At 41.9% G+C, this 20,920-nt stretch overlaps 1 annotated feature.

Moving 5' to 3' along the window:
• Nucleotides 6,649–7,360: an enhancer, noted in NCBI's record as "H3K4me1 hESC enhancer chr10:44249197-44249908 (GRCh37/hg19 assembly coordinates)". NCBI's record gives its function as "activates a minimal SCP1, AML or CMV promoter by ChIP-STARR-seq in naive H9 embryonic stem cells {active_cell/tissue: H9 hESC(naive)}" and the evidence as "EXISTENCE:reporter gene assay evidence [ECO:0000049][PMID:30033119]".

The raw sequence follows: 20,920 nt of genomic DNA on the forward strand, positions 1-20,920 counted from the left end.
CAAGGCCAAGAAGCATAATGTTGCCAGCTGACCCATATGTGTGAACTGTAAAATACCACAGGGTTTGATGAGAACATGGTCTGTAGCAGGAGATTCTTGATGCTAAGAAAGAAGGTGGATTTTTATCTTGCAGGCCAAGGGAAGCCACTGAAGGATTTTAAACTGGAAAGTACTTACAACAGTTGCACAGCATTTTTTTTAAGCTAAAAGATTGTAAATTACCATATTCCTATGGTCACAAACCAAATAGTACATATTTAGGTGTTAGGGACTGATTGCTCGGTGCAAGTCTTTACACTGCTGTCTCTGCAGGTGGGATCTCACACTGATGTCTCTGTAGGTGGGATCTCACAATGTTGTCCAGGTCTTCACACTGCTGTCTCTGCAGGTGGGATCTCACACTGTTGTCTCTGCAAGTGGGATCTCACACTGCTGTCCAGCTCTTCACACTGCTGTCTCTGCAGGTAGGATCTCACACTATTGTCCAGGACTTCACACTGCTGTCTCTGCAGGTGGGATTCTTTCCTGAGAGGATGGCTGGCTGGAGGCCCCAGTTTGTGTTAAGGGATTGTCAGTGGGCAAATGTCACTTCAGTGTGTGAAGGCAGGAAGTCAGTGTCTGGGTATAGACTCCCTAAAGCCTGGAATGAGTAACTGTTGCATCTGCAGAGGTCCTGAGCTTAGTGTCTCTTAATAAACATCCTGGTCAACTCTTGTGGAAAGCTCCAAAGTGCAAGGCTTTGCTGAGGGTTGTACAACAAGGTGAGTTTTTCTCCACTCTGATTTATCTGTTAATTTGTTCTCATTCACTTTTGACTCTAAAAACTGTTGAAATGTCCTTTTCACTAATGGCCTTTCTCTTCATTGTTATAGGTTCTTACTGTTTTTATACCTCTTATACCTTCCTATAGATTTCAATTTCATGCTCTTGAACTAGAATCCTGATTTTGCTTTTTAAAAAGGTTCCTGTTGTCTGTAGTGGGGATAATTGGAGGGGTGTGGCCTGGATGTAGGGAGACCTACCCAGAGAGTATTGATCTCGTGGTCCAGCTGACATGGTGGGGGGCTGAATTGAGGGGAGCAGTGAGCCCAGAAGGCAGGAAGGACCCAGAGAAGCCCACAGGTAGCATCACAGGTGAGGGAAGGGAGGCACAGGAGGGCTGGAGGGTGAGATGCCTGCCAGGTCTTAGACACGACTGGCTTGATTTGCAGCAAAGCACAAGGAGAAATGAGTTGGGAGCAGAATGCAGAAGACCAACTTGGGCAACTCAAATCTCTAGTGTCACTGAGACATCTTGGTTGTTATGTGTGTAGATGGGGTTCTTGGGAGACATGTGCAGAAGAAAATATGGATTTATGAGTCATTAGTGTAGGACTTGATGACATGGTGTGCTATTTTGGGGGTCCCAGAGGCCATCCTCAGCCTCAGCGATTCACTAGAAGGACTCACAGAACTCAGAAAAGCTGTGAAGCGGGTGGTTATGGTTTATTACAGTGAAAGGAGGAGGGGAGGCTGGGAGTCAGCTTCCAGTTGCCCTCTCTCAGTGGGTCTGCACAGAAGCACTTACTTCTCCCCGCAATGACGAGTGACAACACATGGAGGACCGGCAGCCAGGCAGTCTCAGCCCTGGTTTCTAGGGGTTTCACTGCAAGTTGGTCACCTAAGCATGGGGTGCCCAAGCGACCGACCTTAGCTGCTTAGTCTCCAGCCCCTGTGGAGGTCAACTTCACACCACATGGCCTGGGACCAACTCCCCTCCCGCTTGACTAAATCACATTGTCACCATAAAGTATGTGGCATGGCCCAAGGCCCCAGGAAAAGACAGTTTTCTCAGGCAGGACACTCTAAGGCCAGGGGTTAGAGGTTTACTCCTGGAGTCAGGCAAAAGCCAGACCTTTCTTGGAATTTAAGATGTGGGATGGGATGAAGTCCCTAGGATGGGTACAGAGGATGGAAAGTGAGGAGAGCCGCAGACAGTGCTCTATAGAGCACCCCAACTTCCCAGGGAGAGTCAGAGAAAGGAAGAATGTCAGAGGCGGGAGGACAGCTTAGAAGGTGCCCCGGAGCCAAGGGCGCAGGGCAGTCAAGGGAACCACACCACACGTGACAGAGAATTCACGCAGGAGGCTGTCTGGAAAAGGTCCATGGGCTTAGCCATTTGGGTGAGAGCCATTTTAACAGAATGTTTCCACTGGAGTGGCTGGGGGCTGGACACCTGACAGTGGTTGGCTGGAAATGTTGGGAGGTGGGGATGGGAACACAGGCGAATGTTGTGAGCTGCTTGGCTGTGAAGGGAAGGAGAGCGACAGGGTGGCAGCTGGCAGGGAACAGCAGGTGGAGAAACGTGTTTTCCTAACCATGGGAAACGGGAAGACGTGACTAAGTGTAGAGGTTGTGGGCAAGAGGCTGGAAATACGAACCAGAGTGAGAGAAAGAGGGAGGGAGAGATGACCTGGAAACTCGGGACGGAGAGCGTGCTGGAGGACGGAGGAGGCTGTAGGATCTGGAGAGCCACTCTAGGGAAAAGAACGGGAACTGACCAGGGAGATAGGAACTGCTGAGGACAGCCGAGGTGCTTAGCACATGAACCAACGCGGAACATCGTAGAGCTTAGGCTGGAAAGTGGACTTCAGAGTTGAGTGTCATAGGCTGGGTGTGTGGGAATGAGGATGGGAGGGTTGTGAGAATAGCGGATCGTGATAAAGGAACAGAGCGTGCAATTTTGGAGATTATGTTTGATGACAAAGTCTGTGGTGTGGCCCAGGGACTGGACAGGTGAAGTGCAGTAGGGTCTAGGGGCTAAGAACTGTTGAAAGTCAGGGTCAGAATTTGATCACCCACAGGACCAACTCTTGTTTGGACATCAGGTAATGTTTAATCTGACTGAGAGGTAGGCATTGGACTAGAAGTTCCACTGGATTGGTGTTCTGGAAGCTCACGGTAATGCCTTCTTTCATGTACAAGGTAGCAATGAAGATGACTTAAGCCGTAGGTAGCAGAAAGCCTGAAACAAACTGGCTGAAGCAATGTGGAAATGTGAGAAGTCAGCCACAGAGCCAGCTGATCACAGGGCTCCAGGTCTGTTTCTCAGCTGTTCTCCAGGCTTGGCTGTCCTCTGTTATGTGGGCTTAATTCTTTAAAAAACTTTTAATTAAAAAAAATCGTGGTAAAATACACATCACATAAAATGACCATCTTAACCATTTTAAGGGTACAGTTTAATGATGTTAAGGACATTCCTATTGTTGTGCAATCATTACTATCATCCTTCTCCAGAACTCTTATCTTATAAAACTGAAATTCTATACCAATTACACAAATAACTGCGATTCCCCTCCTCCCAGCCCTGACAACCACCATTCTACTTTCTGTCTCTCTAAATTGACTACTCTAGGAACCTCATATAAGTGGAATAACATGGTATTTGTCTTTTTGTGCCTGGCTTATGTCACTTGGCCTAATGTTCTCAAGGTTCATCCATGTTGTAGGATGTGTCAGAATTCTCTTCTTTTTTCAGGCTGAATAATTTTCCGTGGTATAGACAGACCACACTGGAAAAAAATCTATTCACCCGTCAGTGGACGTTTAGTTGCTCCTATCTTTGGGCAATTGTGAAGAAGGCTGTTGTGAACATGGGTGTACAAATCTCTTTGAGTCCCTGCTTTCATTTCTTTTGGGTGGGTACCCAGAAGTGGAATTGTTGGGTTTCATAGAATTCTATGTATAATATTTTGAGGGATTACTGGGCCATTTTCCATAGCTACCATCCCATTTTACGTTCCCACCAACTGTGGGCTTAATTCTAAAGCTGCTTCTCCCCTGGTGGCAAATGTTCAGGGCTTTACCCCCCATGCTATGACCTCAGAGGGAGGACAAAAACTGTCTGGGATCTGGCAGTAGTGATGAGACCTAGCCTGCTTGGTGGACTCAGGGCACAGGGCTAACCCTAAACCAATGACTATGGCAAAGGACTGGTGGGCTTTAGACAACCCACCCCCACCCCACCCCCCACACCTTGGAACTGGGGCTGTGGTCAACACCCTCATAAGTGTGTTTGCTGCGTGGATAGTGCTGGGGGCAGATTCCAGGACTATCCACTCAGCAAACACACAGATTCCAGTAACAGAACATGGCTGCTGGGATCACCAACTGTGTCCCAAACTCAGAGTGCTGGGACACAGATTTTTTCTTTGAATAGTTACATGAAGTTATAATTGGCATACAACAAACTGCACATGGTTAAAGGGTACAGTTTGCTAAGTTTTGGTCTGTGTGTACCTGAGACACCAATATGATTGACCATCAGTTTAAAGTATTATTGATATGTTTCCTGAAAAATGATCATGTAATTATCCGCTGCATTCCAATATTGTTTTAGGATGTATCACTTGGTTTTCTCTGATTCTTACCACAATACTCTGGAAACACCTGATCATCGTTTTGCATATTCGGATGCCGCAGTGCAGGAGCAGCATCTCCGGATCGGTGAAGCGGTCCTGGGAAGGATGTCTCCTCGTGGTGGAACAATCAAAGTGTACGGAAAGACAGTTTTTCTCTAAAAAACTAAATGGCTTACTAGGGACCAAATCCAGAGTCTTGACCCACTTAACTGGATCCCTTGGCTGATCCTGAGTGGGCCACAGGCTGGACCCAGAACATGTGTCTTCAGGCCCTCCAGGCCTCTAGCAGGGCACTTATGTTCACACACCAGGGCTCAAGCCTGAAGGCCAATAGAGGCCAGGGCTGATGGAGTGGAGCCTGCGGCCAGCATTGGGCCTGCCCTGCCAGCCACGGGTGCCTCCTTCTTGCTGGCCGGCTGGCTGGGTATTCTGTGCACGGACTGCAGTTTGGTGGAAGAAAGGCGATTCCTTTACTTGTGTGGCAGGGTTCCAGAGAAGATGTGCATTTATAACTGGGACTCTGACAGCCTTGGGTTAGTCCCTGGTGGGCCACTGAACCGGACCTATTCATTTCAGGCCTGAGGTCACAGATGGGAAGGCCATTTATTACAAAGTAAACCTAAGTGAAAGTTCAAATCTATCAGTGCTTCTTAATCCTAACTGGACGTTCAGATAACCTGGGAGGTAGACACAGATACCTGAGTCTCCCCCTTTCTCCCCAGATTCTGGTTTAATTGGTCTGGGTGAGGCCCAGGTGTCAGCATACTATCAAAGATTTCGGGTGAGTCCATCATGCTCCTGGCTTTGAGTGAGGACCACTGACCTGAAGGGTTACTTCAGGTAAAAAGCCATTTTCATTTACATACATATTGCAAGACCATTCTTCTGACACCTGAATTCTTTCTATTTTTTCACATTACTTTTGTCTTCTGCTTAAGTGGAGCACGGACACTTCTCTGACATTTGAATGGTGACACAACGACTCAGGATTTTTAGGAAAAGGCTGTCTTGTTGTGAACACATGGTTTTCTTTCATTAACTTTGCAATGAAAGGGGTGACTCTCGCCAGACTTTAAGACATGTCTTCACAGTTTGTCATCTACAATGGGAGAAGACACTTTGGCTGTGTTCCTCCAGTTTCAGAGAAAATAACTGTGCCTCACAAGTTCGTCTACTAACTTCCAGCCTCTGGCAATAAAGTCACAATCTCTTTCTAGAGGCCCAGGCTGGGTGCTGCAGGCCACCTTCCCACAGTCACTTGGATGATTTAAGGTCACATTAGGAAAGAGATGGCAGATGCCAGTTCCCAGGTCCACGATCAAACAAAGACTCAAAGGAAAAGACTTTGGAAACAAATAAGCCTGGCTCTTCCAAAAGCCACACTTCAGCAGGTTATGGGCAGGCTCTATTGAAGGTTTCACTGCAGTCATTACTGGCTCCTGTGAAAAGGTCAAGGCCCTAATTCAGATGCTGGAGCCACTTCCCCAGCCTTGCAAAGGGAACATGGAATGCAAATATGGAATAAAGAGTAGGTTCTGCTTAGGACCTGGCCACTCAACTACCCCAGGGACTGTGGTTACCAGATAGTACCCTCCTGCCTGCTTCAGAGGTCTCCCCAGCCTGGGCATGGTGCACCCGACAGTCATCTCCAGAGAGCTGTCTCTACTGTGCTGCATACATTGCGGTCCCTCTCTGTACACCCGAATTGGGCAGGCAGGCCTTCCCTTTTCTTCTTTCCCTTTGAGAATGAAGTGTCCGTGGGAACACTGGGACGTTCAAGCCTCCCATCAGCATCTCTTCCTGCCTGTGTGAGGGCATCTGCCAGGTTAGTCTGAGAGGCCAGGACAGACCCTGCCTCCCAAGGTCTCCTTGGTTCCATGTTCCCGGCAGCAACTCCAAATGGTGGCTGACCAGTGGCAGGCCCTAAACAGTCCTGTGTGAGGGCTGGCACTCTGAGTATGACTGTGTGAGCCTCCTCAGCCGGGCCCTGGGCCCCAGAGGGGGGACTCACCTTCCACATGGGGCCCGGGATGCTTTGACCTCCACACTGCCGGCCCAGCCTCCTGGGCTTTGTGTGGCTCCGGGCGGGCGGGCCTTTCTCCACCAGGGCCTCCTGGGGCAGCAGAGAAAGCACCCCAGTCCCGTTTCCCACCCTCTAACAGCGGGGGCTTGGACTTCCCTGGGTGTCCCAGGCCCTTCTTGTTGCAGCAGGAGGATCCTGTGCGTTTGATCTAAATCTGGTCTCCCGCTGGAGAGGCCCAAACAATCTCGGTCAAAACAGTATTAACAGGAAACCTGTCTCTCAGGGCCAAGAATGCAACCAAAATAGCTCCAAGTCTTCAATTCCGATAGCAGCACCGTTTGGGAAGGCTTTACCTGAGAGAGACAATAAGTGGAACTCTGTCCCCAAATATCCCGCCCTGCCTCTGCAGCCTCCATGGGGCCTGGCGGAACACAGGGAGTGTGGGGCTGCTGGGCGCCAGGCTCCCCAGGTGGGTGGGTGGTGAGCCCTGACTGTCCTCCGAGGGTGGAGATGGGGATTCCGGCTCCAATCCCACTGTGCAACTCGAGTGTGCCACAATCAAAAGGCTTGTTTTGACTGAATTAACTGAGCAGGTTTTTTTTTTTTTTTTGAGATGGAGTCTTGCTATGCCACCAGGCTGGAGTGCAGTGGCACGAGCTTGGATCACTGCAACCCCTGCCTCCTGGATTCAAGCGATTCTCCTGCCTCAGCCTCCGGAGTAGCTGGGATTACAGGCGCCCATCACCATGCCTGACTAATTTTTTTTGGATTTTTAGTAGAGATGGGGTTTCACTATGTTGGCCAAGTTGGTCTTGAACTCCTGACCTCAGGTGATCGGCCCACCTCAGCCTCCCAAAGTGCTGGGATTACAGGCGTGAGCCACTGTGCCTGGCCCAGGTATTTTGTTTGGTGGAGATAATTGAGAATTTTAGAAGGAAAACAATCCTTGTTTTAAAGCATCTAATTTCGCTGTGAAATATTTACAAACTCAAAAAATACTACAAGGAAGAAGATACAAGTCACCCATAAGCTTACAGTACAGACAGAACACAGCTCACGCCTGTGGGAACGCTCAATATTTCTTCTATTTATGTGCACGCATCTACATAGACACCAGACATACAGCACACTTTTTAATGGGTTTGGGTATCTCTTGCTTCACTATTTTCCTCTCCCTCCAGGCAGCCCTTGCTGCCAGCTTCCAGAGGTGTCCGCTACCTCGGCAGCACATCTGCATTTGTTCAGAGGAGCTTTCATATGCAAGTGGTAGCACAACAAGGTACTTTTGTGGCCCTTCCTTTCCTTTTGAACTTGACCCTGTACCTTGCAGAACCTTCCAAATCGTACAGGCCTCCTTCTTTACGAACTTGTATAATATTCTACTGTATGATCACACCATAATTTATTCAGTCCCCTATTGTGAACATTTAGATTGTTTTGAGACTTATTTAAAAAAATACTCAGTTTCTCACTTTGTAGAAGTGGTGTCCTTGAGTCAAACACTTCTGGTGCTGAGTGCTTTGCCAGCCTGCTCTCCCCTGAGCTTGTAAACCTGCACTCCCACTTGCAATAATAGCTAGGAGAGTGTTGATCTCTCCGCACCATCACTCACACAGTTTGCCATCACAGCTTTTGAATTTTGCCAACTTGTTAAGTGAAAAATACCACTGCCTTTCTTTTAAGAGTGAGATTGAAATCTGTTCCCATATTTGAAAGCATCTGCACTTTTGCTTCTCTGAACCGTCCATGCGGTTTTGCTCACTTTTCTACTGGTTGTTGGTATCTCTCTTTTTCTTCTCTCTTTTTGATAGCACAGTTTTTATTTTTTGGCCACTACTCCTTTACTACTTCTTAGCCCAGGAAGAATAGAAGCCGCCCACAATACAGTTTCTTTTTCTTCTTTTAAATCTCCTACCTCACAGACTGTCTGCTTCCTGAAAACATGGCTTACCCATGGTTCCTCACTCAGTCTGTTTACTGATGCTTTCCCTGCCAAGTGACCAAACTAGGTCCAGAGTAGCTCTAACCACCAACCCATGTACCCAGCTCCCAGAGGGTAATTTTATTCTGCAGAGAAACTTCTAGCAATGTACCACACAAGCTGGAAGAAGCAGCATGCCAGGTGGTAAAGAAAATATTTGGTTATTTTGGCTGGAAATTCTTGTCCTGTATAAAATTGTCCGTGGTAGTTGGTGGAGGGAAAAAAGCTTTCAGAGTCTAATATTACTGATTCAGTTTCCTCACAGTTGTTCTGGCAAAGTCTATGTAATTGCAAAAATGATTTGCTTTACTTAGAGTTTTGCTCCTCATTATTCTGAGATGTGAAGTTCTAAAGAGACCGAGGTCTCTATCGGGAAAGGTTTCCTCACCATCAGTCTGAATGTGGTGTGTCATCTGAACTTCTGCCTGTGATTTTTAAATCCTTTTAAGTTTTTTTCTAAGTATTGGCCTTTTAGTTCCATCTTTTAAGAAATAACCACAGGGAAAGGACTGTAACTAGCACAGCGGACAAACATAGACACCATTTTGCAGAAATGATCAGACTTTTTCCACTCTGTCCTCCCCAACCTGGTCCCTGCCCAGTGACAGTGAGATACACGCTGTGTCTTTCTTTCTTCTCTTCTCATCTGTGCAATTCCTGTATTCAGAGGCATCAGGATGTAGAGTGTTAGGCAGCAGGCTCTCCCCCTCACTCCTCATTTTCATGGATTTTATTTGTGTTGAAGGCAGAGGCTCCCTTGCCACTGAACTGCTGACTGCATGGTTTGGATGCTCAGCCTGTGGCCTGTCGAAGGAGGATGCCACCAGGGTGGTCTGTCACTTCTGAGCCATGAGGAATGTTCAGACCTAATTGTTCTTAGTTCGAAATTCTACTGTTTGGAAAATGATTTTCTTTCTTTTTCCCCTATAAACACTAATAAAGGATTCATCATGTTATAATATTTGCTAGATAATCTTTGCTACATAGACTACATTTTTCTTTTTCTTTTCCAAGGGAGAAATATTATCTCGGACGGCAGGCAATCTGCCAGTGTTTGTGATTCTTGAATTCTGAATGTATCTAGAACATTGCTATCTTGATATCTGCTGGCATTGGGGAGTAACAGTAGTAATAAACATAATGAAAAGAGTAATAGCAATTGTGCAGCACTTCATATGTGCCAGACACTCTTCAAAGCACTTGATTTTTCTTTTTTTTTTTTTTTTAAATTATACTTTAAGTTCTAGGGTACAAGGGCACAACGTGCAGGTTTGATACATAGGTATACATGTGCCATGTTGGTTTGCTGCACCCATCAACTCGTCATTTACATTAGGTATTTGTCCTAATGCTATCCCTCCCCCAGCCCCCCAACCCCCGACAGGCAGTGTGTGATGTTCCCCACCCTGGGTCCAAGTGTTTTCATTGTTCAATTCCCACCTATCAGTGAGAACATGCGGTGTTTGGTTTTCTGTCTTTGTGATAGTTTTTTGAGACTGATGGTTTCCAGCTTCATCCATGTCCCTGCAAAGGACATCAACTCATCCTTTTTTATGGTTGCACAGTATTCCATGGTGTATATGTGCTACATTTTCTTATACCAGTCTATCATTGATGGACATTTGGGTTGGTTCCAAGTCTTTGCTATTGCAAACAACTTGATTTTTATTAATTCATTTAATCCTCACAAAAAATGGGAGGAACACTAGCTACCTTTGTTTTACAAGAGGAGGCCTTGGCACAGGAAGGTTAAAAGCCTTGTCTGAGGTACCTAGCCACGAGTAGAGCAAGACTGGAATTGCAGAACACTGCACACATTACGCAATGAGAGAATTTGTTGGACCAGGAAGTTGAGCTAAGAAATTCACCAGCCGGCCGGGTGCAGTGGCTCATGCCTGTAATCCCAGCACTTTGGGAGGCTGAGGCTGGTGGATCACTTGAGGTCAGGAGTTCGAGACCTGCCTGGCCAACATAGTGAAACCACGTGTCTACTAAAAGTGTAAAAATTAGCTGGGCGTGGTGATAAGCGCCCATAATCCCAGCTACTTGGGAGGCCGAGGCAGGAGAGTCACTTGAACCCGGGAGGTGGAGGTTACAGTAAGCCGAGATTGTGCCACTGCACTCTAGTCTGGGTGACAGAAGAAGACTCTGTCTCCAAAAAAACAAAAAAAAAAAAAAAAGAAAAAAAGAAAAAAAGAAAAGAAAAAAAAAAAAAGAAATTCATCAGCCAACAATGATCATTGAATGAGCATCATAGCTGAGATTGGTTCTAAGACCCCTGAAAGTATTGTGGGTGATTTGGAGCCAACCCATAACTGGGTCTAGGGATATTGGAAGCTTTTATTTTCAGAAGCTTAACTTTTATTTCCCTTTTTCATCCGGACAAGTTTTAAACGGTATTCCTTGGGGGAATTTATAATGAATGGAATTTGGAAGATGTTATTAGTAATAATAAATTTACATCCTGGTCGGGCAGGGTGGCTCACGCCTGTAATCCCAGCACTTTGGGAGGCCAAGGCGGGTGGATCACTTCAGGTCAGGAGTTCAAGACCAGCCTGGTCAACATGGCAAAACCCCATCTCTACTAAAAATACAAAAATTAGTCAGGCATGGTGGCCGGCGCCTGTAATCCAAGCTACTCAGGTGGTTGAAGCAGGAAAATCACTTAAACCCAGGAGGCAGAGGTTTCAGTGAGCCGAGATAGTGCCACTGCACTCCAGCCTGGGCAACAAAGAGAGACCACACCTTCAAAAAAAAAATTACATCCCATTAGGATTATTTAGAAAGCACAAAATTATATACCCTTCTTTCCAAGTGAGAGCCCTCCCTGTGTAATTGGAACTACAACCACGGTAAGACTGTGTGCGTGGTCACGCTTGCCCTGGTGCTATCTAGGGCACACTGGATATCTTAGACATGGTTTTTTCCTCACAGTCTCTAAACATCGACCCTGGTTAAAGACATAAGACACGTTAGTTACATGGTATAATCCTGTTACAGATTTTCAGGATGAGTTTTCCTCTAAAATTTCTATACTCCAAATCTTCAAGAGGCAAATGAAAGACGTTCGAAGGGCCTGAGCCTACCAGGTGACACATAATATGGATTGATGTGCTCAATTCATTTTTAATCTGCGGTCGATATACAGTCCTCTGTGCAGAATGGAGAAACCTGAAAACTGTATTTTCCAGTTGTCATTGTGCCTGGGATTCCACGTGGGCTGGATGGCCCAGCAATGAGATGCACCCACTGGAGAATTAAACTTGGAGCTCGGTGGAGAGAGCTGCACAGCATGGGGAGCCATTTTCTGATGTGGATTCTGTGGGGAACTGTGTTTTGGAACCAGCAGTTCTTCACAGTCAACAGTTTTCTAAAGTCACTACCAGTCAGTCTTCTCTTTGTACTGTTATGTTACCAACCAGGTAGATAATCAGGCTTATTCATTTCAGATTGTTTTGGGAATTGTTTTGGAAACTGAATTCAGATGAATTTAGAAATGCGTTTCATTATTTATTGTATGTAAAACATTTTGTTTTTAAAGTCAAAACTCTAGGTGGTATCTAAGAAGTCTTTCATTCCTATCCTCACTACCTTGTTTCTCCTTCCCTCTTTATGTAACCACTTTAAAAAATTAGTTTTTGGTTTGTTTTTCGAGTATTTCTTTTTGCCAATATAAGGAGATACATTTATATGTGTGTTTCTATGATTTCTTACCCAAAAGGGCTACATTGTATTTCCCATCATGCCCCTAGTTCTTTTCCCTGCAACAGTGTCTCTTCCAGAGTTTCAGGTCAGAATTTGGAGCGAAGAGCTTGTTGTATTCTCTTGTCTGTTGCCCTGGCTACCACTCCAACACAGCGCCCTCATGGGGAACCCGTTTCCCATTTGGTAATGGGCCAGAATTGGTTCCTCCCGGTGGGATCTTGGTATGGCTGACTTCAAGAATGAAGGCCCCAACCCTCGCAGTGATTGTTACAGTTCTTAAAGATGGTGTATCCTGACTCTGTTCCTTCTGTTCAGATGTGTGCTGAGTTTCTCCCTTCTGGACCCTCCTAGGGAGTGTTAGTTCTTAAAAATGGTGTGTCCAGAGTTTGTTCCTTCTGATGTTCAGATATGTCCACAGTTTCTTCCTTCTGGTGGGATCGTGGTCTTGCTGACTTCAGGAGTTAAGCCACAGACCTTCGCAGTGAGTGTTACAGCTCTTAAAGGTGGCCCCTCTGGAGTTGTTTGTTCCTCCCGGTGGGTTTCTGGTCTCGCTGACTTCGTGAGTGAAGCTGCAGACCTTCGCAATCAGCCTTACAGCTCATAAAGGTAGTGCAGACCCAAAAAGTAAGCAGTAGCAAGATTTAGTGCGAAGAGCAAAAGAACAAAGCTTTCACAAACTGGAAGGTGACTCTAGCGAATTGCCAGTGCTGGCCCAGGTGGCCTGCTTTTATTCCCTTATTTAGCCCCATGCACAGCCTGCTGATTGGTCCATTTTACAGAGAGCTGATTGGTCCATTTTACAGAGAGCTGATTGGTCCATTTTACAGAGTGCCGATTGGTCTGTTTTTACAGAGTGCTGAGTGGTGCGTTTACAAACCTTTAGCTAGACACAGTGCTGATTGGTGTGTTTACAATCCTTTAGCTAGACAGAAAAGTTCTCCAAGTCCCCACCTGACCCAGAAGCCCAGCCGGATTCACCTCTCAGTAAGATGCTGGTTTTAGGGTGGAGTTGTTTATCTAAGAAATCATGTCAGGGAAGTATCCAACAATTCTTTCTTAACTGAATATTTTTAAATACCAGCAATGGGTGTCAGATTTAGTTAAGTGGAGGCAGAAACCATGCCTATTTTTAAATGAAAATAATTTAACATAAAGAACTGTTCACTAAATGACAAGAAGGGACTGCTAAGACATCTGAGAGGTTGTGGGTGGGGGACAAAGGGGAGAGGAGGGGCCACATGGAACTCAGCCCTCTGCAAATCCCCCCACTCCCTGAGCTCAGGCTGGGTCCTGAGGCCTGACGGGCTCCTGGAGCCAGACCCAGACGTCTGATGGAGGCAGCGGCTGGCTGGAGGAGCAAGTGCAAACAGCAAACTGGACTCAAGTGCTGCTCCTGGAACACACCACCACATTTGAGGTGAAGAAGTGAGGATGGGATGATACTGGCTGAAGAGGGAGCAAACAGGAAGAGTGATGCCCCCAGCCTGGCCGCCTCCCTTCTGCCCGTCTACTGCAGGGCCTAGCAGGCACAGCCAGCGGAGCTGGGATGCGGTTTGCAGGGTACCAGCCCCAGCATTGCAGAGCGAAGTGAGGAGCGCAGGCTGGAAGCTCAGGGACGACAGCCTGATAACTGGCACAGCACGTGTGAAACAACATGACTTTTCTTCTTGAAGATATAGATACCATGAGTCAAACACTAATGTGATTAGGCTTTCGAAAATCGCTTTCTTTTCTGGAACGAATCCCACCTGGTCATGACAATTGTTTTGTACATATACTGTTTGCTCACACTTTTAAGATTTTTATGTCAGTATTTATAAGTGAATTTGGTTTATAATTTTCTTTTTAGGGCAATATTTAGTTAGATATTGATATCAATGTTAGGTTTGTTTTGTAAAAAAGAATTTGGAAGTTGTAATTCTTTCCCTTGTGAAACCATCAGGGCCGGGTGTATTATTTGGTGAGAAGTCTTGCAATTTTCGCCATAGCTTCTATAGTAATTGAGCTCTTCAGATTTTTTATCTCTAAAGATTCAAACTTGATACATTATATTTTCCTAAATATTATTTATTTCATTTAGGTTGTCAAATTTATTTACATTAAGTTAGCAAAGTATTATCTTAAAATATTAAAAAGTCCTCTATTTCAATGTTTTCCCACTTTGTCTCATTCTATTTGTATAATTCTGCTTTTTTTTTTTTTTGCTAGTGTTTTCTGTTCTTTGTGGATTTTTTTCCAAAGCAATAGCTTTTTGATCATTTATCAGTTTTACTGTTTTTTAGTTTTCTAACTCAGTGTCTACTCTTTATTCTGATTTATTCTGTTTTTTTTTAACATTAGTTTCTTTCCTTTTTTTGATATAGATATTTAATACTATGATTTTTTTCTCTGAGCACAGCTGACCTATGTTCTAGAGTCTTCAGTATGTGGGTGGAGAGTTCTCTTTTAGTATGCCATAATTTCTGATTGGCAAACTTGTGTTATCAGATACACAAATATTAATAAGTTATATCTTCATTGTAAATTATAGCCTTTAGCATTAAAAAGTGTTTTTGTTTTGCTTACTGCTTTTTGACTAGAATTCTACTGTGATATCAAGATTTGACTAGTATGAATTTTCTCATCTTTTAATTTTTACCTTTTCTTAATCTTTTTTGCTCACTTCTATATAGTATAGAATTGGATTTTGCTTCATTAGTTAGTTTGATAAATCTTTTCTTTTAATACATGATCTAAGCCTATTTCTATTTATTGATAGGAATGGCATGTTCTCAGTTTGACCAGGTCACGTTTTACTTGCTTTTATTGGGCACTGACTTTGGTATCCAGGAGGATTTGTGTGTGCATGTGTGTGTGTTGTAGTGATTACTTCTGTACTAATGATTTATATAAGGACTTAGTTATCTTTTTCTCTAGATATTCTCTGTTGGGTTCCTACTTTGAGAAATATGGAAATTACTATAGACACCATTTCTCCTCCCTCTTCCTAAGCTTTGAATTTTAGATACCAGTTTTATTTTATTGATAATCTTTGTGGTCTTCAATATACTCAAGCTTCTTTTACTTGACTTGTCAGAAAGTGACATCCTTTCACTCCCAGCTAATACCAAGAGGCAATCAATAAACTTCTACCTTCCAGTTTCATCATCCTACTCCTCATCTATCCTTTGGTGAAGTGTGTCTTCAAATATTTTGCTCTTTTGTTCTTTATTGAGCTGTTTGCTTTCTTAATTTTTAAGTTTTAAGGGTTTTAAACTCCTTCAAAAAACTGATTTGCAAATATTTTCTCCCAGTCTGACATCTAAGTTTTCATTCTTTTAATAGTGCCTTTTAAAAAGCAGACGTTCTTAATTTTGATTATGTCAAATTTATAAAATTTTTCCCTTGTGGATCATGGTAAGCACTCTTTGTCTAACCAAAGGTCATAGAGATTTCCTCCTATGTTTTCTTCTAGAAGTTTTATAGTTTCAGGCTTTAGAATTAGGTCTACGATCCATTTTGAGTTAACTTTTGCACATGGTGCATGGAATGGGTCAAAGCTATTATGTTATTATTGTTTTGCACATGATGACCCAATTGCTTCAATCCCATTTGCAGAAATAGCTATTTTTATTCTTTGCATAGTCTGTGCACGTTGGTTGCAAATCAGCTGTCCATATATAAGTAGGCCAATTTCTGGTCTCTCTATTCTGTTACACTGATCTATTTGTGTATCTTTATACCAATACCACATTGTCTCAATTATTATAACTTTATGACAAATTATGAATTAGGTCATTTGTTTTCAAAGTTGTTTTGGCTAGTTTATGTCCTTTACATTTCCGTGTGAATTTTTAATTACCTTTTCATTTTTTCCAGTAAAGCTGACTAGGAGTTTATTTGGATAGTGTGCTGTTTCTAGAACAGACATCTTCATAATATTGAGTCTTCTGACCCATGAACACATATATCCCTTCATGCATTTACATCTTCTTCAGTCTCCTTCAGCAATACCTTGTAGTTTTAAGTGTACAAGTCTTATAACTAAGAATTTCATAATTTCATGCTATTGTTAATGGTTTTGTTTTTAAATTTCAAGTTCTTTTTTTATTGTAAGTACATATAAATATAATTGGTTTTCGTATATTCATGTTACATTCTGCAACCCTGATACACTCTCTTATTATTTCTAGTATTTTTTTTGTAGATCCTTAGGAATTTCTGGATTTACGATCATGTTTTTGGTGAATAAAGAGAGCTTTTATTCTTCCCTTAAAATCGGGGTGCCTTTCTTGCGCCCCCCTTTTCTTGCCTTAATACACTGGCTAGATTCTCCTATACAATGTTGAATAGAAGCCATAAGAGTAGACTCCTTGGCTCATTCCCAATCTTGGGGGGCAGAAAGGGCAATGAAAAAGCATTTAGTCCTTCAAATAAGTATAATATTGGCTGTAGAATTTTTTTAATGGATGCCCTTGATCAGGTTGTGGAAGTTCCCTTCTGTTCCTAGTTTGCCGAGAGTTTTTAATCAGAAGTGGAAGTTGAATTTTGTCAAAAATTTTTTTTCTATCTATTAAATGATCATAGAGATTTAAAATAATTTGTTAACATAGTGAATTACTTTGATGTATTTTTGAATGTTAAATTAGCTTTGAATTCCTGGGATAATCCCCACTGGGTCATAATATATTGTTCTTTGTATTTATTGCTGGCTTCAATTTTCTATGCTTTAAAAAGAAGTTTGCATCTATACCCAGGAGGGATATTAAATTGTACTTTTATTGTAATGCCTAACTTATTTTGGAATAAGAGTAATATTGGCCTCATTCAATGACTGGGAAGTATTTTCTCTTATTTAATTATCTGGAAAAATTTCTGTAGACTTGGTATTAGTTCCTCTTTAAACATTTGATAGAATTTACCAGGGATAGAATTAGCCAGCCATCTGGATCTGGAGTTCAATCTGTGGGAAGGTTTTAAACTAAGACTTCAACTTTTTTCTAGATATAATGGCTTTTTTTCCCCCAGTTATTTCTTGAATTAGTTGTGGTGATATGCATCTTTTAAGGAAATTGTCAATTTCAATGAAGTTTGCAAATTTATTGGCATAAAATTTCTCATAATAATCCCTTTTTTCATCAACAACTGTAAAGCAAGTAATGATGCCACCTCCTTCATTCCTTATATTGGGAATTTTTCATCTTCTTTTTTTTTTCTCCAGAAGTCTGTCTGGCCATTTATAAATTTTATTTCTTTTTAAAAATAACCTAACTTTTGGTTTCATTGCATTTTCTTCATTTTTTTTGTTTTCTACTTCATCAGTTTTTTTGTTCTCATCTTTATTTCCTTGATTTTGCTTACTTTGGGTTTAATTTGCTCTTATTTTTCAAATTTCTAAAGATGAAACTGAGATAATTTATTCCGAGTCTTTCTTCTTTTCTAACACAGGCATTTATTGCTATAAATCATAAACTGCTTTAGTGACAGTTTATAATATATTATGTGATATATTATGTTTTCATTTTTATTCAGATTAAAATACTTTTTTCTGACTCATTGCTTATTTAGAAAGTGAATTATTTGATTTCTAAGTATTTGAGAATTTTAAAGAGACATTTCTGTTGTTGATTTTAATTTCATTCCATTATGGTTACATGGCATATATTTTTCTCTTTTTTAATTTTTAAAACTTCAGTAGCTTTAGGGGTAAAAGTGGTTTTTGGTTACATGGGTGAATTATGTACTGGTGGAGTCTGGGCTTTTAGTATACCCATCATCAGAATAGTGTACATTATATCCAGCAGGTATTTTTTCATTCCTCACTCACTTCCCACCCTCTCCCCTTCCATTATACCACTCTGCATGCCTTTGCATACCTCATAGCTGAGAGCCCACTTACAAATGAGAAAATGTGGTATTTGGTTTTCTGTTCCTGAGTTACTTCACTTAGGACAGTGGCCTCCAGTTCCATGCAAGTTGCTGCAAAAGCCATTATTTCATTCTTTTTTTATGGCTGAGAAGTATTCTATGGTATGTGTATACTACATTTTCTTTATCCACTCATCAGTTGGTGGGCCTTAGGTTGATCTTTGCAATTGGGAATTGTGCTGCCAATAAACATGGGTGCAGGAAGTTCTAGCCAGAGCAAGCAGACAAGAGAAAGAAAGAAAAGGCATTCAAATAAGAAGAGAAGATATCAAGCTACCTCTCTTCACTGAGAATATGATTCTATACCTAGAAAACCCTAAAGACTCTGCCAAGAGGCTGCTAGAACTGATAAACAATTATGGTAAGATTTCAGGATACAAAATCAATGTAAAATATCAGTAGCATTTCTATATACCAATAATGTCCAGGCTGAGAGTCAAATCAAGAACACAATCCTATTTACAACAGCCACAAAGAAAATGAAATACCAGGAATACAGCTAGACAAGGAGGTGAAAGATCTCTGCAAGGAGGACTACAAAACACTGCTGAGAGAAATCAGAGTGATGACACAAATAAATGGAAAAACATTCCATGCTCATGAATAGGAAGAATCAATATTGTTAAAATAGTCATACAGCCCAAGGCAATTTACAGATTCGATGCTATTCCTATGAAACTACCCAATGTCATTCTCCACAGAATTAGCAAACAATTCTAAAATTCATATGAAATAAAAAAAGAGCCCAAATTGCCAAAGCAATCCTAAGGCAAAAAGAGCAAAGCCAGAGGCATCGCACTACCTGACTTCAAACTACAATATAAGGGCACAGTAACCAAAACAGCATAGTTCTGGTACAAACAGACACGTAGACCAATGGAACAGAACAGAAAACTCAGAAATAAAGCCATAACTTATAACTATCTGATCTTTGGCAAGGCTGACAAAAACCAGTGGGGAAACAACTCTCTGTTCAATAAATGGTGCTGGGATAACTGGCTAGCCATATGCAGAACAATGAGACTGGACCCTGATCTTTCATCATATTAAAAAAAACCTGAAGATAGATTAAAGATTTAAATGTAAGAACTCAAACTGTAGAAATTCTAGAAGAAAACCTAGGAAATACTCTTCTTGACATTGGCCTTGGCAAATAATTTTTGGCTAAGTCCCTAAAAACAACTGAAACAAAAAAATTGGTAAGTGGGACCTAATTAAACTAAAGAGCTTCTGTACCATAAAGTAAACTTTCAACAGAATAAAAAGCCTACAGAATGGGAAAAAATATTTGCAAACTATGCATCTGACAAAGGTTCAATATCTAGAATCTATAAGGGACTCAAACAGATCAACAAGCCAAAAACATAAGCCCATTAAAAACGGGCAAAGGACATTAAACAGACACTTCTCAGGGAAGACAAGTGGACAAGAAACATATGAAAAAATGGTCATCATCACTAATCATCAGAGAAATGCAATCGAAACCACAATAAGGTACCATCTCATACCAGTCAGAATGGCTGTTAGCAAGGCCATGGAGAAAAGGGAACACTTATACACTGTTGGTGGGAATGTATAATAAGTTAGTTCAGCCACTGTGGAAAGCAGTTTGGAGATTTCTCAAAGAACTTAAAACAGAGCTACCATTTGACCCAGCAATCCCATTACTGGGTATATACCCAAATAAAAATAAAACATTATACCAAATAGACATATGCACTTGTATGTTCATCACCATGGTATTCATGATGGCAGAGACATAGAATCAACTTAGGTGCCCATCAGTGGTGGATTGGATAAAGAAAATGTGGTATGTATACACCATGGAACACTACAAAGTCATAAAAAGAATGAAATCATGTCCTTTGCATTAACATGGATGGAGGTGAAAGTCATTATCCTAAGCATATTAATGCATGAACAGAAAACTAAATACTGCATGTTCTCACTTATAAGTTAGAGTTAAATATTGAGCACACATGGACACAAACATGAGAAAAATAGATACTGTGGACTACTAGAGGGAGGAAGGAGGGAGGAGGACATAGGTTGAAAAGCTACCTACTGGGCACTATCCTCAATACCTGGGTGTGATATGCCCATGTAACAAACCTGCACATGTACCCCCATATCTGAAATAGAAGTTGAAAAAAAAAAAGAAATAATGCTCTATGGTAATCTACTGATTAATTACCTTGTTAATAAATATGTAAAGCTCAGCACTTCCCCCAACCCAAACCAAAACCAAATAAGAAAACAAACAAAAAAAACCTATGTATGCAGGTGTGTGTGTTTTCTATAATTACTTCTTTTCCTTTGGTAGGCCTACTTTTAGTTCTTTGAGAAATCTCCATACTGTTTTCCATAGAGGTTGCACTAATTTAACATTCCCACCAGCAGTGTATAAACATTACCCTTTCACAACATTGTGCCTATATCTGTTGCTTTCTGACTTTTTAATCATGGCCATTCTGGCTGGGGTGAAGTGGGATCTCATTGTGGTTTTAATTTGCATTTCCCTGATGATTAGTGTTGTTGAGCATTTTTTTCCTATGTTTATTGGCCATTTATATATCTCCTTTTGAGAAATGTCTGTTTATATAATTTTAAATTTCATACAGCTTGAATCCTTTTGGTTTTATTAACACTTATTTTATAGCCCAGAATATGGTCTTTCTTGGTGAATATTCTATGTGCACCTGAAAAAATGTGTATTCTGCTGTTTTGGGTGAACTATTAATGTCAATCATGTCATGTTAGTTGATAGTTTTATTTAGGTCTTCTAAAATTCTTCCTGCTTTTCTCTCTCTTTGTTTTATTAATTGTAGAGTGAAGGGTATTAAAATATTTTATCATAGTGGCTTCATGTATTTTGAAACTCTGTTATTAGGTGCATAAATGTTT

The sequence above is a fragment of the Homo sapiens genome, chromosome 10 (assembly GCF_000001405.40).
Source record: "Homo sapiens chromosome 10, GRCh38.p14 Primary Assembly".
In the NCBI taxonomy this organism is placed as follows: Eukaryota; Metazoa; Chordata; class Mammalia; order Primates; family Hominidae; genus Homo; species Homo sapiens.